Source organism: Homo sapiens, chromosome 1, assembly GCF_000001405.40.
Source record: "Homo sapiens chromosome 1, GRCh38.p14 Primary Assembly".
In the NCBI taxonomy this organism is placed as follows: Eukaryota; Metazoa; Chordata; class Mammalia; order Primates; family Hominidae; genus Homo; species Homo sapiens.
Window position 1 is genome coordinate 155,033,801 of NC_000001.11, and position 16,282 is coordinate 155,050,082.

At 53.1% G+C, this 16,282-nt stretch overlaps 1 protein-coding gene and 1 long non-coding RNA gene across 4 annotated transcripts in view; one reads left to right on the top strand and one right to left on the bottom strand.

Moving 5' to 3' along the window:
• DCST1 (DC-STAMP domain containing 1) overlaps positions 6 to 16,282 on the top strand; it is a 17,125-nt gene continuing 848 nt past the window's right edge. Inside the window, exons 1-16 of one of the 2 annotated variants that reach the window (NM_152494.4) lie at positions 24 to 54; positions 172 to 297; positions 635 to 760; positions 853 to 927; positions 5,603 to 5,731; positions 6,685 to 6,824; positions 7,597 to 7,813; positions 7,914 to 8,057; positions 8,935 to 9,056; positions 9,552 to 9,709; positions 12,093 to 12,192; positions 12,325 to 12,420; positions 12,560 to 12,686; positions 13,396 to 13,512; positions 13,987 to 14,129; positions 14,257 to 14,370. In NM_152494.4, the coding sequence (NP_689707.2) occupies positions 237 to 297; positions 635 to 760; positions 853 to 927; positions 5,603 to 5,731; positions 6,685 to 6,824; positions 7,597 to 7,813; positions 7,914 to 8,057; positions 8,935 to 9,056; positions 9,552 to 9,709; positions 12,093 to 12,192; positions 12,325 to 12,420; positions 12,560 to 12,686; positions 13,396 to 13,512; positions 13,987 to 14,129; positions 14,257 to 14,370 (1,869 nt within the window). In that variant the 5' untranslated portion in view covers positions 24 to 54; positions 172 to 236. Of the gene's footprint in view, positions 55 to 171; positions 298 to 634; positions 761 to 852; positions 928 to 5,602; positions 5,732 to 6,684; positions 6,825 to 7,596; positions 7,814 to 7,913; positions 8,058 to 8,934; positions 9,057 to 9,551; positions 9,710 to 12,092; positions 12,193 to 12,324; positions 12,421 to 12,559; positions 12,687 to 13,395; positions 13,513 to 13,986; positions 14,130 to 14,256; positions 14,371 to 16,282 lie in introns of both variants that reach the window. The other variant, NM_001143687.2, reaches the window with a different exon arrangement.
• DCST1-AS1 (DCST1 antisense RNA 1) overlaps positions 11,391 to 16,282 on the bottom strand; it is an 18,801-nt gene continuing 13,909 nt past the window's right edge. Inside the window, exons 2-4 of one of the 2 annotated variants that reach the window (NR_040773.1) lie at positions 15,469 to 15,561; positions 12,160 to 12,355; positions 11,391 to 12,053 (exon numbers count right to left, since the gene is read on the bottom strand). This is a non-coding gene — a long non-coding RNA (DCST1 antisense RNA 1). Of the gene's footprint in view, positions 12,054 to 12,159; positions 12,447 to 15,468; positions 15,562 to 16,282 lie in introns of both variants that reach the window. The other variant, NR_040772.1, reaches the window with a different exon arrangement.

The window sequence follows — 16,282 nt, forward strand, 5'->3', positions numbered from 1 at the left end:
ACTGCATATGTCTTGGAATCCTTGACCCAGTTCCGAGGACTGGAGAGGGGATAGGTAGGTCTCTAATCTCCTTCCCCACTTCTCGGAGCAGAAGGATTAAAAGGCCCAGAGCTCAGGCCTAGGCTTCCCATGAAGCGGAAGAGACAGGCAGCACCTCTCTTCTCTCACCAGAACCTTGTGTCCAAGGAGGTCCTTCAGGAGACCTGGGATGAGTGGTGCTTCCCCAAAACAGACTCATGGACATTAAACATCATCAGAATGGCACAAGAGGGCAAAGAAGAAAACAGCCTCATACCAGTGAGTCACTCAGCAGAGACCCAGTATCCCTTGACCTCCACTCTCATCCCATCTCTCCTCCTGGAACTCCTGCACACTATCCCCCAACTCGGTGTCCGCGCCTCCACCACCTCTCTGGTCTAGTGCCTCCCGCCTCCCAGCCCAGCCCTTGCCTTTGCTGTCCCTTACACCCATACCACTTCCTCAGGCTCCCTCATCCTCCTCCAGGGTCCCCTAAGTTCCTACTGTTTCACATGCCAGGTTTCCCCAGCCTCTATCCACCTGCAAGCCCTGAATCCTAATGAGCCCCATCCCAGGCAGAAGAGTGGGCTGTTGAGCTACCCTGTCCCCCTCTTAGCGGTGCAGAGGCTCCTGACCTGGGGGCTGCCAGTCTCCTGTAGCTGGTTCCTGTGGCGCCAGCCGGGCGAGTTTCCTGTCACTGCTCTCCTGCTGGGGGCAGGCGCTGGGGGGCTCCTGGCCATAGGTGAGTGTGGAAGCAGAAAGTTCGGGGTGGGCAGAGGCTGGACCAGGGCTAGGACCCATCTTTTGGCCTTTGGCTTGACCTTGTGCCCTTAGGTCTCTTTCAGCTCCTGGTGAACCCCATGAACATCTACGAAGAACAGAAGATTATGTTCTTGTACAGCTTGGTGGGTTAGTGCTGGGCAAAAGCCAGGAACACTCAAGCGGCCTGTGGAACACAGCGCCGTCCTGCATGCCCAGGAAGGAGTCGGGACTTGTTTCTTCTGTACCCATACATCCCCTGTGGCTTCCGCCTCCTCCTGGGCTTTACGGGGAGGTCCAGAGGGAAGAGGCTGCCAATTTAAGAAGGAAGACACCGTCCTTGCCCTGAGGGAGTCTCTCCATTCCGAGGGACTCCCCATCACCCACATGATATAGTCCAACCCCATAACCCTTCATAACTCTCATCTCTCCTGACCTGTCTGACCTCGTTTTCTGATCCTCCTAAGAAATTAAATTCATTCATTCATTCATTCATTCACTCAGCACTTACTGAGAATCTGCTGAGGATTTAGCAGTAAACAAGGATGACAAGCATCCAGCCGTTTTGCTTTGGTTTTGTTTGTATGTTTTTGTTTTCGTTTTGAGACGGAGTCTCGCTCTGTTGCCCAGGCTGGAGTGCAGTGGCTCAATCTCAGCTCACTGCAACCTCCACCTCCCAGGTTCAAGCCATTCTCCTGCTCAGCCTCCCAAGTAGCTGGGATTACAGGCACCCATCACCATGCCCAGCTAATTTTTGTATTTTTAGTAGAGACGGGGTTTCTGTATGTTGGCCAGGCAGGTCTCGAACTTCTGACCTCAAAAGATCTACCTGCCTCGGCCTCCCAAAGTTCTGGGATTACAGGTGTAAGCCACCGTGCCCAGCCCAGTTTGGATAATTTAACAGCTCAGTAGCTTCGAGAAGGACTCAGGTTCCTTCTGTCTTTTCTCTGCCATCTTCAGTCTATTGACCACTTCTCTTCAGGTCACAAGATAGCTGCAGCAACTCTGGCATCACATCTTCATACAATAATATCAAAGATCAGAAAAAAATAAAAAAAGAGGAAGAAACAGGCCAGGCACAATGGCTCACGCCTGTAATCCCAGCACTTTGGGAGGCTGAGGCGGGTGGATCACCTGAGGTCAGGAGTTTGAGACCAGCCTGGCCAACATGGTGAAACCCTGTCTCCACTAAAAATACAAAAATTAGCCGGATGTGGTGGTGCACACCTGTAGTCCCAGCTTCTTGGGAGGCTGAGGCAGGAGGCTTGCTTGAACCCAGGAGGCAGAGATTGCAGTGAGTGGAGATCGTGCCACTGCACTCCAGCCTGGGTGACAAGAGCGAAAGGCCATCTCAAAAAAAAGAAAAGAATAGAAGTTCAATCCCAGGCCCAACTTCACTGTCTTGGGCTGTGCGATTTGAGGCCAGGGAAAAAGGAAAATGACCTAGGTGACAGAGTGAAACTCTGTCTCAAAAAAAAAAAAAAAAAAAAAAAAGGAAGAAACATCCTTTCCTCATGTCTCTTTTTAGGAACAAGGGAAACTTGCCTATAATCCCCACAGTAGACTTCCTCACATCTCTTTGGTCAGAACTGCGTGCAACACATGCCCTTTCCTGAACCTGTCCCAGGCAAGGGAAATAGAATTAGCATTTCATCACCTGTTTATTGAATTAATCCTGCTGGATACCAACAGGAGACTACTTTTTCTCTGACCCACTGTATTCAAACATGTTTTTTCCCATTGATAACCTTTCACACAGCCCCTTAGATTTCTGGTTGTATTTCTTTAGAAGACCTAGTCCTACTTCAACAATTAAGACTTATTTTTAGGGGTTAAAGAGGTCCAGTCCACTCTACATCAGACTTTTAACCTCATCCATTCTCAAGCATCTTCCCTCCTTATCTTGCCCTCCCCATCCCTTGCGCCCCCAGCTCAGGCCTGCTCCCTAGCATGGGGTCCTGCAATGGAGAAGGGGCGTGGCCTGCTCTTTCCCTTTTTTCCTCTACTTCCTTCCCTTTCTGGTTCTTCTGATGTCAGAAGGGAGATTAGAAGAATTAGAGGAAAAGGGACAAAAGTCTTAAGTCACTAATGCTATTATAATTCCACTGTGGATGCCTGCGTGTAGCAGGCACTCACACCCTGGCTGTCCCAGTAGGCCTGATTATTGTCCCCTTGGAGGCTGTGTGTGGACCTCGGCAATGCCCGGTTTCTTGCAGAGGGCAGTTCTTTTTGGCTGACCTCGAGTGAAGCCCCCCTTCAGGGGCCACCCACAGCCTCTTGCTTTTTGGATCCCTCCCTCCAGCAGGCTGGGAGTGCACACGTCCGTGCCCTGCCAGGCAGAGAAAGCAGTGCACCTTCCTTTTTGTGGAGAATGGGGTCTCGCTATATTGCCCAGGCAGGTCTCAAACCCCTGGGCTCAAGCTATCCTCCCGCCTCTGCCTCCCTAAGAGCTGGGATTACAGGCGTGAGCCACCAACGCCCCATCAAAAGCAGAGCACCTTATGGTTGCCTCTCTCCTGCCCTGATGAGAAGCAGATGCCAGTCTCCATGCTTGTGTGCCAACATCGTCCAGGGGAGGTCTACAGAGGCATTACAGAGGCTGAGCTCTCCCAGGAGCTCTCCCTCCACTCTGTGCTCTGGTGGGAGCCCTGGAGTGGCCTCATGAGGCTCTGCACTCAGCAGGAGTCTAGTCTACAGAGACCAGGCAGGTTCCCCTTCCTGCAGCGCCAGTCCCTGAAGCCTCTTGGACTCCTGGAGTCTCTCACTTGACATGTGACACCCATCCTCTCCACAGACTCTCCCTCTCTGCCTGCCCATTCCAACCACTTTTCTCCCCTTCCAGGAAATCCACATTGTTGGTCTTTTTTTTTTTTTTTTTTTTTTTAAGACAGAGTCTTGCTCTGTCCCCCAGGCTGGAATGCAGTGGCACGATCTCAGCTCACTGCAATCTCCGCCTCCCGGGTTCAAGCAATTCTCCTGCCTCAAACTCCTGAGTAGCTGGGACTACAGGCACCTGCCACCATGCCTGGCTAAATTTTATATTTTTAGTTGAGACAGCCATGTTGGCCAGGCTGGTCTCAAACTCCTGACCTCAAGTGATCCACCCGCCTTGGCCTCCCAAAGTGCTGGGATTATAGGCGTGAGCCACCATGCCTGGCCCATATTGCTGTTCTTTTTATATAGATGGGGTGGGATAGAGGAGTGAGAGTCAAGTTTTGCTGTTTTGGTGAGCCCAAAGAAGACACCCATAGCTCCATGGGGCTCTCATTAGAACATAGGGCAACTATTTGTCAACTATTAGCCTCAGCTCGAGTCTTTGGCCAGAAGGCCAAGACCACAGAACTAGTCCCTTTCAGTGTCCTGTTCTACCATGACTGGTTTAGACAGATCCAGATTTATCCCTCAGGGGCTGGGGCAGGGCCAGGCTATTGCCCTTGCAAAAAACCCAAGTTGTGTTAGCAAGGAAGAAGGCACAAAAAAAACTGTGGGGTGGCACCCGACAGGGTTTGCCACAAACCTGAATGACTAGGTGGAGCCAGCCATGTGAAGAACAGGGAGAGGAGTGCTCCTGGCAGGGGGAACAGCTAGGGCAAAGACCAGAGAGGAGGAATGAGCTTGGCTTGTCCAAGGAGCAGCAACGAGGTCTGTGTGGGTAGACATGGTGGGTGAAGGGCTGCATAGCATGAGATCAGGAGGCAGGCAGGAGCCAGATCACAAGCTAGGTAGACCATGTTAGGGAGTTCGGATTTTATACCAAATGTGGTAGAAAGCCACCGAATGGTTTGAAGCAGGGAAGGGACATGATCCGATTTATGCTTTTGCAAGATCACTCTGGCTGCCTTGTAAAAACTGAAGTGTAAGGTAGCAAGAGAGGACATAGGGAGACTCATCAGGTTATAGTCCCAGTAAGAGATGATGGGGACTCTACCACGACAGTGGAGATGGAGGAAGTGTAAGGATTTGGGATTTGCTTTGACGATCATTGGGTGAACATTCCATCAACACAGGAATCTTCTAGCTCCCCCGACCAGCTTATACTGTTCCTTTGGCCTGGAATGCCATCTGCACCTCCTAACAACACTTACTCACCTTCCAGGCCCAGCTGACACGTCCTGTCTTTGTCCAGCCTTCTCAGCCCCACCCCTCCCTGAAGAAATACGTACTCCCTCCTTGGCTCCCACAGCGCTCTATAAGCACCTCCCTTGTGCACTTAGCACATCGTGTTGTAGTCACTTGTTTACTCATCTGTCTCTTTCTCTGGATTATGAGCTTCCAGAAGTTCACTGTCTCCTTGCAGAGACCACAGGGAGACACATGTGAAACTGCTAAAACATACCAGGCGGTACATGACCAAGGGCTAAAATTAGAGGCAGGGACTGCGAGTGCTGTAGGTGTCTGAGTACTGGGAGTACTGAGGTGGGCTCTGATCTCTCTTCTGACCATTCTGAGCATGAGCACCTGTTTCCAGATATTTTCTCTTGCTCTCTCTGCTCCCTCAGCACCTAGGGTCAGTGTCACTGTAGCCCGGAAAACCTTGGCTTCCTTCCCTAACACAAACACACACAAGTCAATCATTTGTGGTTTTTTAAGTTCTAGCCATCCCTCTATGCCCTTCCAGAGACTGGCACATAGCTAAACTCTGTGAGTGGCTGCTGAATGAATGAATGAGTGGCCCAGCAGGTCTATCAGAGTCAGTGTAAATGGGGATAAGGGCAGGATGGTGGTGGTTCCAGAAGGGGGTGTTGCAGGTGGGTGCTCTGGTAAACGTGAGGAAGGGAGGCAGCTTCCTCACTTCAGCTCACCACCTCCTGGGCTCTCCTGACAGGCTTGGGGGCCATGGGCTGGGGGACCTCCCCTCACATCCGCTGTGCCAGCCTCCTACTAGTACCCAAGATGCTGGGCAAGGAAGGCAGGCTCTTTGTCCTGGGATACGCCTTGGCTGCCATCTATGTGGGTGAGTATGTGGGGGCCAGTGAGTTACACTGAAGCAGTGACCCTGGGTGGGTCATCCAATGGGAGCCAGGCCGGGTGAAGGAGAAAAGACAGGAGTGTCATCCCAGCTGCTCTAACTCACTGTATGTCCCTGAGGGAGCTCCTCCCCATATCTGGGCCTCCTCAGTTTATAAGAGTGAAAACATTGGCCAGGCACGGTGGTTCATGCCTGTAATCCCTGCACTTTGGGAGGCTGAGGTGGGTGGATCACCTGAGGTCAGGAGTTCAAGACCAGCCATGGTGAAACCCCATCTCTACTAAAAATGCAAAAATTAGCCAGGCATGGTGGTGCACACCTATAGTCCCAGCTATTCGGGAGGCTGAGACAGGAGAATCACTTGAACCTGGGAGGCGGAGCCTGCAGTGAGCCGAGATTGCGCCATTGCACTCCAGCCTGGGTGACAGAGCAAGACTCCGTCTCAAAAAAAAAAAAAAAAAAAAAAAAAAAAAAAAGGCCAGGCACGGTGGCTCACCTGTAATCCCAGAACTGTGGGAGGCCGAAGCGGGCGGATCACGAAGTCAGGAGTTCGACACCAGCCTGACCAACATGCTGAAACCCCGTCTCTACTAAAAATACCAAAAAATTAGCCAGACATGGTGGCGTGTGCCTGTAATCCCAGCTGCTCAGGAGGCTGAGGCAGGAGAATCGCTTGAGCCCGGGAGGCGGAGGTTGCAATGAGCAGAGATCGAGCCACTGCACTCCAGCCTGGGCAACAGAGGGAGACTCCGTCTCAAAAAAAAAAAAAAAAAAACAGTGAAAAAAATCAAAGGTTGAACAAGTTGACCTTTCATAGGCTCTCGGCCCCACCACTGTATAGTTCTAGGCGATGGGCACTATTTGCAGAGGGAAGCTGAGCGGGTTTGAGAAAGTGCTGGTTATACAGGGAGGTGACCAACCAGGGCCTCTTTCTCCAGGGCCAGTAGCCAATCTGCGACACAATCTCAACAACGTGATCGCATCGCTGGGCTGCACCGTGGAGCTGCAGATCAACAACACCCGCGCAGCTTGGCGCATCTCCACAGCCCCCTTACGGGCCATGTTCAAGGACCTGCTGGTCAGGAATCTGCACAGGCAGAGCCTGGGGGGTCCCTCTCCCTGGGGCCAAGTTAACTTGAGCTGGGAGTTGTCACCCTGGATTTACAGTTTCCCAATGGGGATACTACTGGCATTTTTTGCAGAACTATTCCCAAACATTGCAGAACGTGCCCTGGTCCTGGTGTTAAATGCCAGGAGAGCCCCTGAGTCATTAGGACATGCTCTATACACATTTCCTAATACCTGAGTGGTCAGTACTCTGGACAGCTGAACTAGAATATCTAGGAAATTTGGGGGCTTTGGCCTTGAGTAGCTCAGAAGTTTCGAAGACAAGAGTATTCAAGAATTGGGTATTGGAAGGCTGGAGACTGGGGGTTTGGGAGAATTGGAGAGCTGGAGAGTTGGGGACATGGGGGCTGAGGGGTTTGGAAGTTGGGGGCATTCAGATGGCATAATGATCTCAGAGACTAGTGGTGAAGGGTAAGGTCTAAGGACCTGGGGAACCACTGACCAGGAAGGGTCTGGGATGGGAGGACTGAGGAAGAGCTGAGAGTCTGGGAGGTACGCAGAGCCAGGACATGTGGCATCAGACAAGGCAGCTGGTGGGGGGGCTCCCAAGGGCAATGGACAGCCGGGAATTTGAGGTGAGAGGCTGTGTCTCAGGGCCTAGGCTCCCTGTCGGCCTGGGGTGAGAACCCAAAGCTTGGCTACTGGGGGAGGACAGGCCCTCAGGCAGCAGAAGTTCTAAAGCCCCAGCCCTCACCCTTTCCTCCCTCCACCTCCAATCCCAGAGTAGCAAAGAATTGCTGAGAGCAGAGACTCGGAACATCTCCGCCACTTTTGAGGACCTGGATGCCCAGGTGAATAGTGAGACGGGCTACACGCCTGAGGATACCATGGACTCAGGGGAGACAGCCCAGGGCAGGGAGGCCCGCCAAGCCCCAGCCTCCAGACTCCACCTGTCGACACAGAAGATGTATGAGCTGAAGACCAAGCTGCGTTGCTCCTGTGAGGGGTATCCCTGGGGAGTGGAGGGTGGGGTGGGATGTGGGGCCAGCATTGTGGATCAAGATGTGGGAACCTCAGACACCCTTGCTCCTTCCTACAGATGTGGTGAACCAGGCCATACTCAGCTGCCGTCGTTGGTTTGACCGCAAGCATGAACAGTGCATGAAGCACATCTGGGTCCCACTCCTCACCCACCTGCTCTGCCTGCCTATGAAGTTCAAGTTCTTCTGTGGCATTGCCAAGGGTCTGCACAGTTGCAAAGGGGTGGGGAGCATCGGGGTAGGGAGCTGAGTCCTTGGGACCCACTGGTAGGTGACAGGCAGGAAAGCAACAGATGAGGAGGGTTTTGGCCCTGAGGCCACAGCATCCTTAGAGCCCTCCACCTGCTGAATAGCTCTGTGACGCAGGGTGAGTTACAGCAAAGCTCTGAGCTGTGGCTTTTCATCTGAAAGATGCGCATGGGCAGAATAACAGTAGTTCTTGCATTAATTTTTTTTTTTGAGACGGGGTGCTTCACTCTTGTCACCCAGACTGGAGTGCAGTGGCGCAATCTCGGCTCACCGCAACCTCTGCCTCCCGGGTTCAAGCGATTCTCCTGCCTCAGCCTCCTGAGTAGCTGGGATTACAGGTGGCCGCCACCATGCCCAGCTAATTTTTGTATATTTAGTAGAGACGGGGTTTCACCACGTTGACCAAGCTGGTCTTGAACTCTTAACCTCAGGTGATCCACCCACCTCAGCCTCCCAAAGTGCTGGGATTACAGGTGTGAGCCATCGCACCCAGCCACATTAAGGGCTTTTAAGGATTTATGGGGCTAACGTATGTGAAGGCAGTGGCAGAGCTGGCACACAGAGGAGCTGCTCTGTAAACGCTGGCTCTCCTTACTGATGTTTGTTATGGTTGAGGATAGATTGACAAAAATGAGGGAACTCAGGTCTGGTTCCTGGAGGGCAGGATCCAAAGAGAGCAGAGAGGGGAAGACTCAGCATTGGTGTGGTAGCAAGCCATGGGCAGAGAGACAAAAAAGCAGGATGAGGAGGACTACAGGAGGACAGGCAGGCCAGGCCTGCACCTGGAGGACAGGCCCGGGGAGGCCCCTGACCCCGTCCACTGTTCACCAGTGATGGAGGTTTGGTGCCGCAATCGCATCCCAGTGGAAGGCAACTTTGGGCAGACCTACGACTCCCTCAACCAGTCTATTCGTGGCCTGGATGGGGAATTTTCAGCCAATATTGACTTCAAGGTAGAAGGCAAGGGCGAGGGTTGGTGGGGGGTAGATAGGGAGTGGGAGGAGGGCATGAGGGAATAGAGCTAGAGGAAGGACAAGTGAGAGGGCACAGGAAAGAGGTGACCAGGGGTGAGGGAGGGGGACAAGGAGGGGGAATGTCGCTGGTGTTGAGGGGGCCCTCTGTTTCCCATCTCCACCCCCGAACACCTGAGATGGGCAGGGGAGGGGAAAGGTGGTGAGGAGGGGACAGTGCCAAGCCTGTGGTTTGTGCAGACTTGGCCTGGGGTGGGAGCTATCAGCCAGATATGAGATGATGTCAGCTGATGTAGGTGCAGGGGAGCAAGACTGTGTCCAGGAGGGTGGTGAGCAGAAGGAAGTGACAACTCCTAGAGGTCCTGGGAGGGCCCCAGGGACACAAGTGGGGTACTGGGGAACAGATGTCATGAAGAGGTGGGACCCAGGTCTGACGAGGTGGCCGCAGGCTGAGTTTGCTCATGTGCCCTCCACCAGGAAGAGAAGCAGGCTGGGGTGCTGGGGCTCAACACAAGCTGGGAGCGCGTGAGCACCGAGGTGCGGGACTACGTGTACCGCCAGGAGGCCCGGCTGGAGTGGGCCCTGGGGCTGCTGCACGTGCTGCTCTCCTGCACTTTCCTGCTGGTCCTGCATGCGTGAGCCATAGTCCCCACCCCAGCAGCCCCTCCTCTGCCCCGGACTGGAGCCCTGCCCTGAGGGAGGCTGTAAGGATGGAACCCTAGCACCTATCCTCACCTCTGAATCTGAATATTATTTACCTTTGTCTTTGTTTACACAAAGTTAAAGGAAAAGTGGACATTTTGTCAGAAGAACATTACCCATGTTCCCACTGCCTTAAAAGGCCAACCGTCTTCATTCATCCACCTCCTTCCAGCCTTTATCCCAATACTGATTTTTTTTTTTTACGTTTAGCTTTGACTTTTGATTTTTTCTTGCCCTTCATATTCCCCTTGGCTCTGACTTTGTGCCATTTTTATCTTTCCATTTTGCTTTCATTTTCTCCTGCCTGCTGCGTTGGCAGCGACTTTCCCTCCATTTAGAACAAAGTCCTCAACCCCACCCAGCCCAGTGTCCAGCTGGGCTGCCCCGGGCCTTGCTCTGCTCTAGCTCCCCTGCTGGTCTCTGGACCCTCTATTTCCCATCTCCACTCCCAAACACCTGAGATGGGCAGGGCTTGGGTGAGGGCTGCCACAGGGCTGTTGCTCTGTCTGCCCCTATGTGGGGGGCCTAGAGTGACTGCAAGTGAGTGGGTATGTGTGTATCTAGGGCCCCATGGGAAGACAAAGATGAAGGAGCTCTATTCCTGCCCCCAATAAGCTCATGATCGCCAGGCATGGCGGCTCACTCCTGTAATCCCAACATTTTGGGAAGCCGAGGTGGGAGGATGGCTTGAGTTGAGGTGTTTGAGACCAGCCTGGGTAACACAGTGAGACCTCGTCTCTACAAAAAATGAACAAAATCAGCCAGGTGTGGGGCACATGCCTGTAGTCCCAGCTACTTGGGAGGCTGAGGCAGGAGAATCACTGGGAGGTCGAAGCTGCAGTGAGCTGTGATTGTGCCACTGCATTCTGCATTCCAGCCTGGTGTCAGAGTGAGAGCTTGTCTCAAAAAAAAAAAAAAAAAAAAAAAGCTAATGATCTAGTTGGGATCATGAGACACCCACAAGACAGAGATGGTTCAAGGGCCATTCTATGGATTGGCTTTTGAGACGTGTATGGGAGCTGGGAAGGTGCCCCTTGGAAGGGCAATAACTGGGCTCCAAATGGCCGCAGATGCGGAACGGTGGTCAAGGAAAGAAGGGTGTCCCTTGCGTAAGGCTCCTGGTATCCATGGGATGCAGAGGGCAGAGGCTGGCCTGGAGAACTGAAGTGGGCATGACCAGAACAGTCTGGAAAGCCCTGCAGGAAGACCTGGAACTGGCGGTGGTGGCAAGATGGCCTCAGGAAGTCTGGAGGGAGGGCGGGAGGCCAGGCTGGGTTGGAGGTTAGGGAGCCTGGCCCGGGTAGAGCATGGCAGGAAGATGGCTTGAGATGGTGGGGGAAGGGGAAAGGTGCAGCGAGGCTCAGAGCCAGCTTGTGGAGGGAAGGAAGGAGGCACAGAGTCAAAAGCTACTTCCAGGCTTTCAAGCTGGGTGAGGTCATGCACTGAAAGGACAGCTGGCGGGAGGGCAGGCCCTGGCTCAGGAAGCCCAGGCACCACCTCTGTGAGCCTCTCCACAAGAGGGCACTCACAGTATGTCTTTGCACTTACAGTAGTTTTAAAGGCAAAGATGTGGATTTTTACAGGGCCCCAGAAGCAATAGCATTGAAACTAATGTTTCACACTTTACAGAGTTTGTTTAATGTACTTTTACAGTTTTAAACACATTTGCAGTAATTAACATTTTTTCCTTAGCAAACTGAAGCATTATGTAGGGCTTTGGGAAATACATGGGGGATAGCTATATATGCAGGCATGCACCCATGCACACGTGCACCGTGCTCAAGGGTAGCCAGGGAGAGCCAGGGTGTATTGGGGGAGGATGGAGATGGTGGTCTGGGATGAGTTTTGCCCCAGCACACTTCCAGGAGATATGCTGCAGGCAAAGCCAAGAGGCAGGAATTTGTGAGTCACAGTGGATTAGGTGATTCCTGAAACCTCAAGGAGTTTCCCCCTCTCTGTAACTCTGCTCGATATTCATCCTGTAAGATGCATGCCTGTCCCTACCTCAGATGCACACATGCAACTCCCTCCCAGACAGGCTGACCATGCCCTCCTCTGAGCCCCCACCTCATCCCCTACTCACTTCTGCTATGTCTCACCCATCATGTAGGGGGATGTCTTCCTCTACACAATTGGAAGGCAGGGACAGAGTCTTCTCCCTGTTATCACCATCCCCTAGCAGTGCCCAGGACATAGATGGTGCTCAATGAATGCTGGCTGGTTGGTTGAATGACTGTGCCTCAAGGAAGCCCATGTTTGGGGATAGATGAGGAGAACCTGGAAGAGATGGAGACATCCCTGCCCATCCACCCACAGGTCTTTCTCCTACATGGACAGCTATAACCATGACATTCGTTTTGACAACATCTACATCAGTACCTACTTCTGCCAGATCGATGACCGCAGGAAGAAGCTGGTGAGTGGGCACGGCACTGCCCGGGGATGCCTTGCTGCTGTGTGCCCTGTGTGGGTTCATGCTCCAGGAAGGCAGAGAGGAAAGGGCAGAGGGCCCTTGGGCTTCCTAACTGTGTGGACATTTGTTTTCCAGGGCAAACGGACTCTGCTGCCACTCCGCAAAGCTGAGGAGAAAACCGTCATCTTCCCTTGCAAGCCCACCATCCAGGCCTCAGAAATGAGCAATGTGGTGAGGACAGCATGGGGAGCGGACTCCTGGGTGCAAAGACAGGCCTGAAGGTGAGGGTGGAGGGTAAAAGGCACCAGAGAGTGCTCCGTGCCCAGGCAGATGGCACTGCCCAGCTCTGCCCCTCCTGCTCCTTGGCCAGGTGAGGGAGCTCCTGGAGACACTGCCCATTCTGCTGCTGCTGGTGGTGCTGTGTGGCTTGGACTGGGCTCTCTACTCCATCTTCGACACCATCCGCCACCACTCCTTCCTGCAGTACTCCTTCCGCAGTAAGCCCATCCCCCAGACACATTCCAGGCCCAAGAGACACCCTCTGGAGAACTCCAATGCCTGCACAGCCACCCCACCCTAGTTCTTCCAACTGTGCCTCGTCCTTCTGCCTCTTTTTTTTTTTTTTTTTTGAGACAAAGAGTCTCGCTCTGTCACCCAGGCTGGAGGAGTGCATTGGCACAATCTCAGCTCACTGCAACCTCCACCTCCCAGGTTCAAGCAGTTCTCCTGCCTCAGCCTCTTGAGTAGCTGAGATTACAGGTGTGAGCCACCACGGCCAGCTAATTTTTCTATTTTTAGTAGAGACAGAGTTTCACCATGTTGGTCAGGCTGGTCTCGAACTCCTGACCTCAAGTGATCCACCTGCCTCGGCCACCCAAAGTGCTGGGATTACAGGTGTGTGCCACTGTGCCAGCCATCCTTCTGCCTGTTCTTTTCCCCTTTCTGTGATTCAGCCCCTCCCTGTCCTCCTCAAGGTCAAATGACAGCCCTGCAACCTGACAGCTCTCACAGCAGGGGAGGGGGGCTCTGTACCCCTTTACACTTACAACTGGGAGCAGGGAGGGGTTAGGATTCAGGAAGGGACAGAAAGACTCAGGCAGCTGAGAAGCATTTCTGTGTCTTGACCCCTCCCTGACATCCACCCCCTTAACACATTCCTGATTTCTCCACCTGCCCTGACTTCCCTACCTGTCCTCCTGGCCGCAGGCAGTCATAAACTGGAGGTGAAGGTCGGGGGAGACTCCATGCTAGCCCGGCTTCTTCGAAAAACCATTGGGGCCCTGAACACCTCCTCAGAGACAGTGATGGAATCAAACAACATGCGTGAGTGATGCTGAAAGTTTGGATCAGAGGAATCGAGGGCGGTGGGGCAAGGGTCAAAAGACTCCAAGGTAAAGAGTTAGGGGCCTGGGCCTTGGGTGTGGAGAGATGGGGGTTGGAGCGCTTGAGCTGGGGAAATCGGAGCAGGGAACACATCTGGGCAGGCTTGAAAAAGGGGAGCATGACCAGCTTCAGTCAGAGGAGTCTGGAGGCCAGGGTCTTGTGGCTAGGGGGCCCCAGCCCTCCAGAGCAGCACTGTCCAACAGGACATTCAGTCAAGATAGAAATCTGCAAGATCTGTGCCACATTGGGCCCAGCGGCTACAGTACTGACAGGGCAGTTCTGCAGTGAGGGGCAGGCAGGAGGAGAGCAGGGGAATCAGAGGACTGCACCTCCCACTGGGATGGGAAGTCCAACCCAGGGCTGCCCTGCCCCTTGGCTGGTCCTGACCAGACCCCTGGCCTGCCCCTCCCCTAGCCTGCCTGCCCCAGCCTGTGGGCCTGGATGCCAGGGCCTACTGGAGAGCTGCAGTACCGATTGGCCTGTTAGTGTGTCTCTGCCTGTTACAGGCTTTTGGCTACCGACTCCGGAGGGTCATCGCAGCCTTCTACTTCCCCAAGGTTTGCCCCTCCCCAGACCTCTCCACCCCTACACACCTGCACACACACACACACACCACCCAGCTCCCTACCAACTCCATATTTGGGGGATGCCTTTCTCTATCATTGACCCCCTTCCTGCCCCCAGCGAGAGAAGAAGCGGATCCTGTTCCTCTACAATGACCTATTGAAGAAAAGAGCAGCCTTCACCAAACTCAGGAGGGCCGCTATCCTGAGGCGGGAGCGACAGCAGAAGGCTCCGGTAAGTCCAGGCGTAAGTGCTGCTGCCAGCTCCTGGCTGGGTCTAAGTACAGCAGGCAAGGGGCAGCTCCCTTCAGTCCACCCAGCACCCACCAATGGTCGCAGGCCTACTCGAGCCTGGTAAGTTCTTTTTATTTTTTGAGATGGAATCTCACTGTGTCGCCCAGGCTGGAGTGCAGTGGCACGATCTCGGCTCACTGCAACCTCTGCCTCCCAGGTTCAAGCGATTATCCTATCTCAGCCCCCCACTCCACAAGTAGCCAGGATTACAGGCACACGCCATCACGCCCAGCTATTTTTTTGTATTTTTAGTAGAGACAGGGTTTCACCATGTTGGCCAGGCTGGTCTCAAACTCCTGACCTCAGGTGATCTGCCCACCTCAGCCTTCCAAAGTCCTAGGATTACAGGCGTGAGCCACCAAGCCCAGCCAAGCCCGGTGTAATCTGATGCAACACATGCTGAGGGCCCCAGCCATCCAGCTCCTAAGGTCAGGGCTGTGCCCGTTTCTGAATCCCAGGATTCAGCCCAGCCTAAGACACTCAGTGGACCATTAGGAAGCAGGCAGAAAAGGAGAATGAGATTTAATACAGTCTGCTCATAGAAAAGCAAGAGGGCCGCACAGAAACAGGAGGCCCAAGGCAAAACCAAAGTTTCTACCAGAGGGCTGCAGACCAGAAGCTCAGTGCAGTTCAAGGGACAGGAGGAGGCAGGTGGGCTGGGAGTCAGGAAGGCCTCATGCAGGGGCACATGGTAAGGCACATGGAATCTGAGGAAGCAGACTCCAGTCCATACTCCCTCATTAAGTTGTGTCACCTTGGCCAAGGTCTTCACTGAGCCTCAGTTTCTCCCTCTGAAGAATGGCAAGACTGGAGAGATCTGTAAGGCCTGCTCACTGGAGATCAGCCTAGAGTGGTGGTCAGGTGTGGGACTCCGGTGCCAGAGGGCCTAAGTGTGTATCCCGGCTCCTTCCCTCATTACTATGACAACGGTGTGACCTTGAGCACATGACTTAACTGCTGTGCCTGGGCTTTTGCCTTCCATAAAATGGGGTTAACTACTCCATCTGGTTGTTTTAAGGATTAAATGAGTTGTACTTACATGGTGCTGGCATGCAGCAAGTTCCATATGCATGCATGTTATCATTGGGTGACCCTGGGCAGTGATCACATCTCCAAGCATCAGTTTTCTCACCTGAAAAAAAGGAGATGATAATAACACTATCTGCCTTACATGACAATTGAATTGAATTTTTTTTTTTTTTTGAGACTAAGTCTCACTCTGTCGCCCAGGCTGGAGTGCAGTGGCGTGATCTTGGCTCACTGCAACCTCCACCTCCCCAGTTCAAGCGATTCTCGTGCCTCAGCTTCCCGAGTAGCTGGGATTACAGGCACACACTACCACGCCCGGCTAATTTAGAATTGAAATAATTTATGTACAGTATCTTAGTACAGGACCTGACATTATAAACAATGAGTGGCAGCCATTCTTATTTAATCAGTCCTAACAAAGTTCATAAAAGTGAGACTGTGTTTGCTTAGCTTTTTCCCTAGGGCCTGGATACCCCCAGCCCCCATGACACACAATAGGGGCCAAATGAATGTGTTGTGAAAAAATGAAAAACAAAAAACAAAAAAGAACATGCTGGGATTCCTTGACAGGGTCGTGAAGCAAACTGAATGTGAATGCACAGATGGAAATGTGCCAGACAGTCATTCCAAGCAGAATGTGCAAAGACTCAGTCCACAGGGAATGCGAAGTGCCAGGGCTAGTCTCAGGAGAAACTGGCTCAGAAGAGACAGCTCTCAGGGAGGGCTAAAGTAGGAAAGAGGCTAGAAAGGGACCAGGTGAGGGAAGGCTCTGAAGGCCAAGCCCAAGAGTTCTGCCTGTCTGGCAGGCAGCAGGGCCTCTGGAG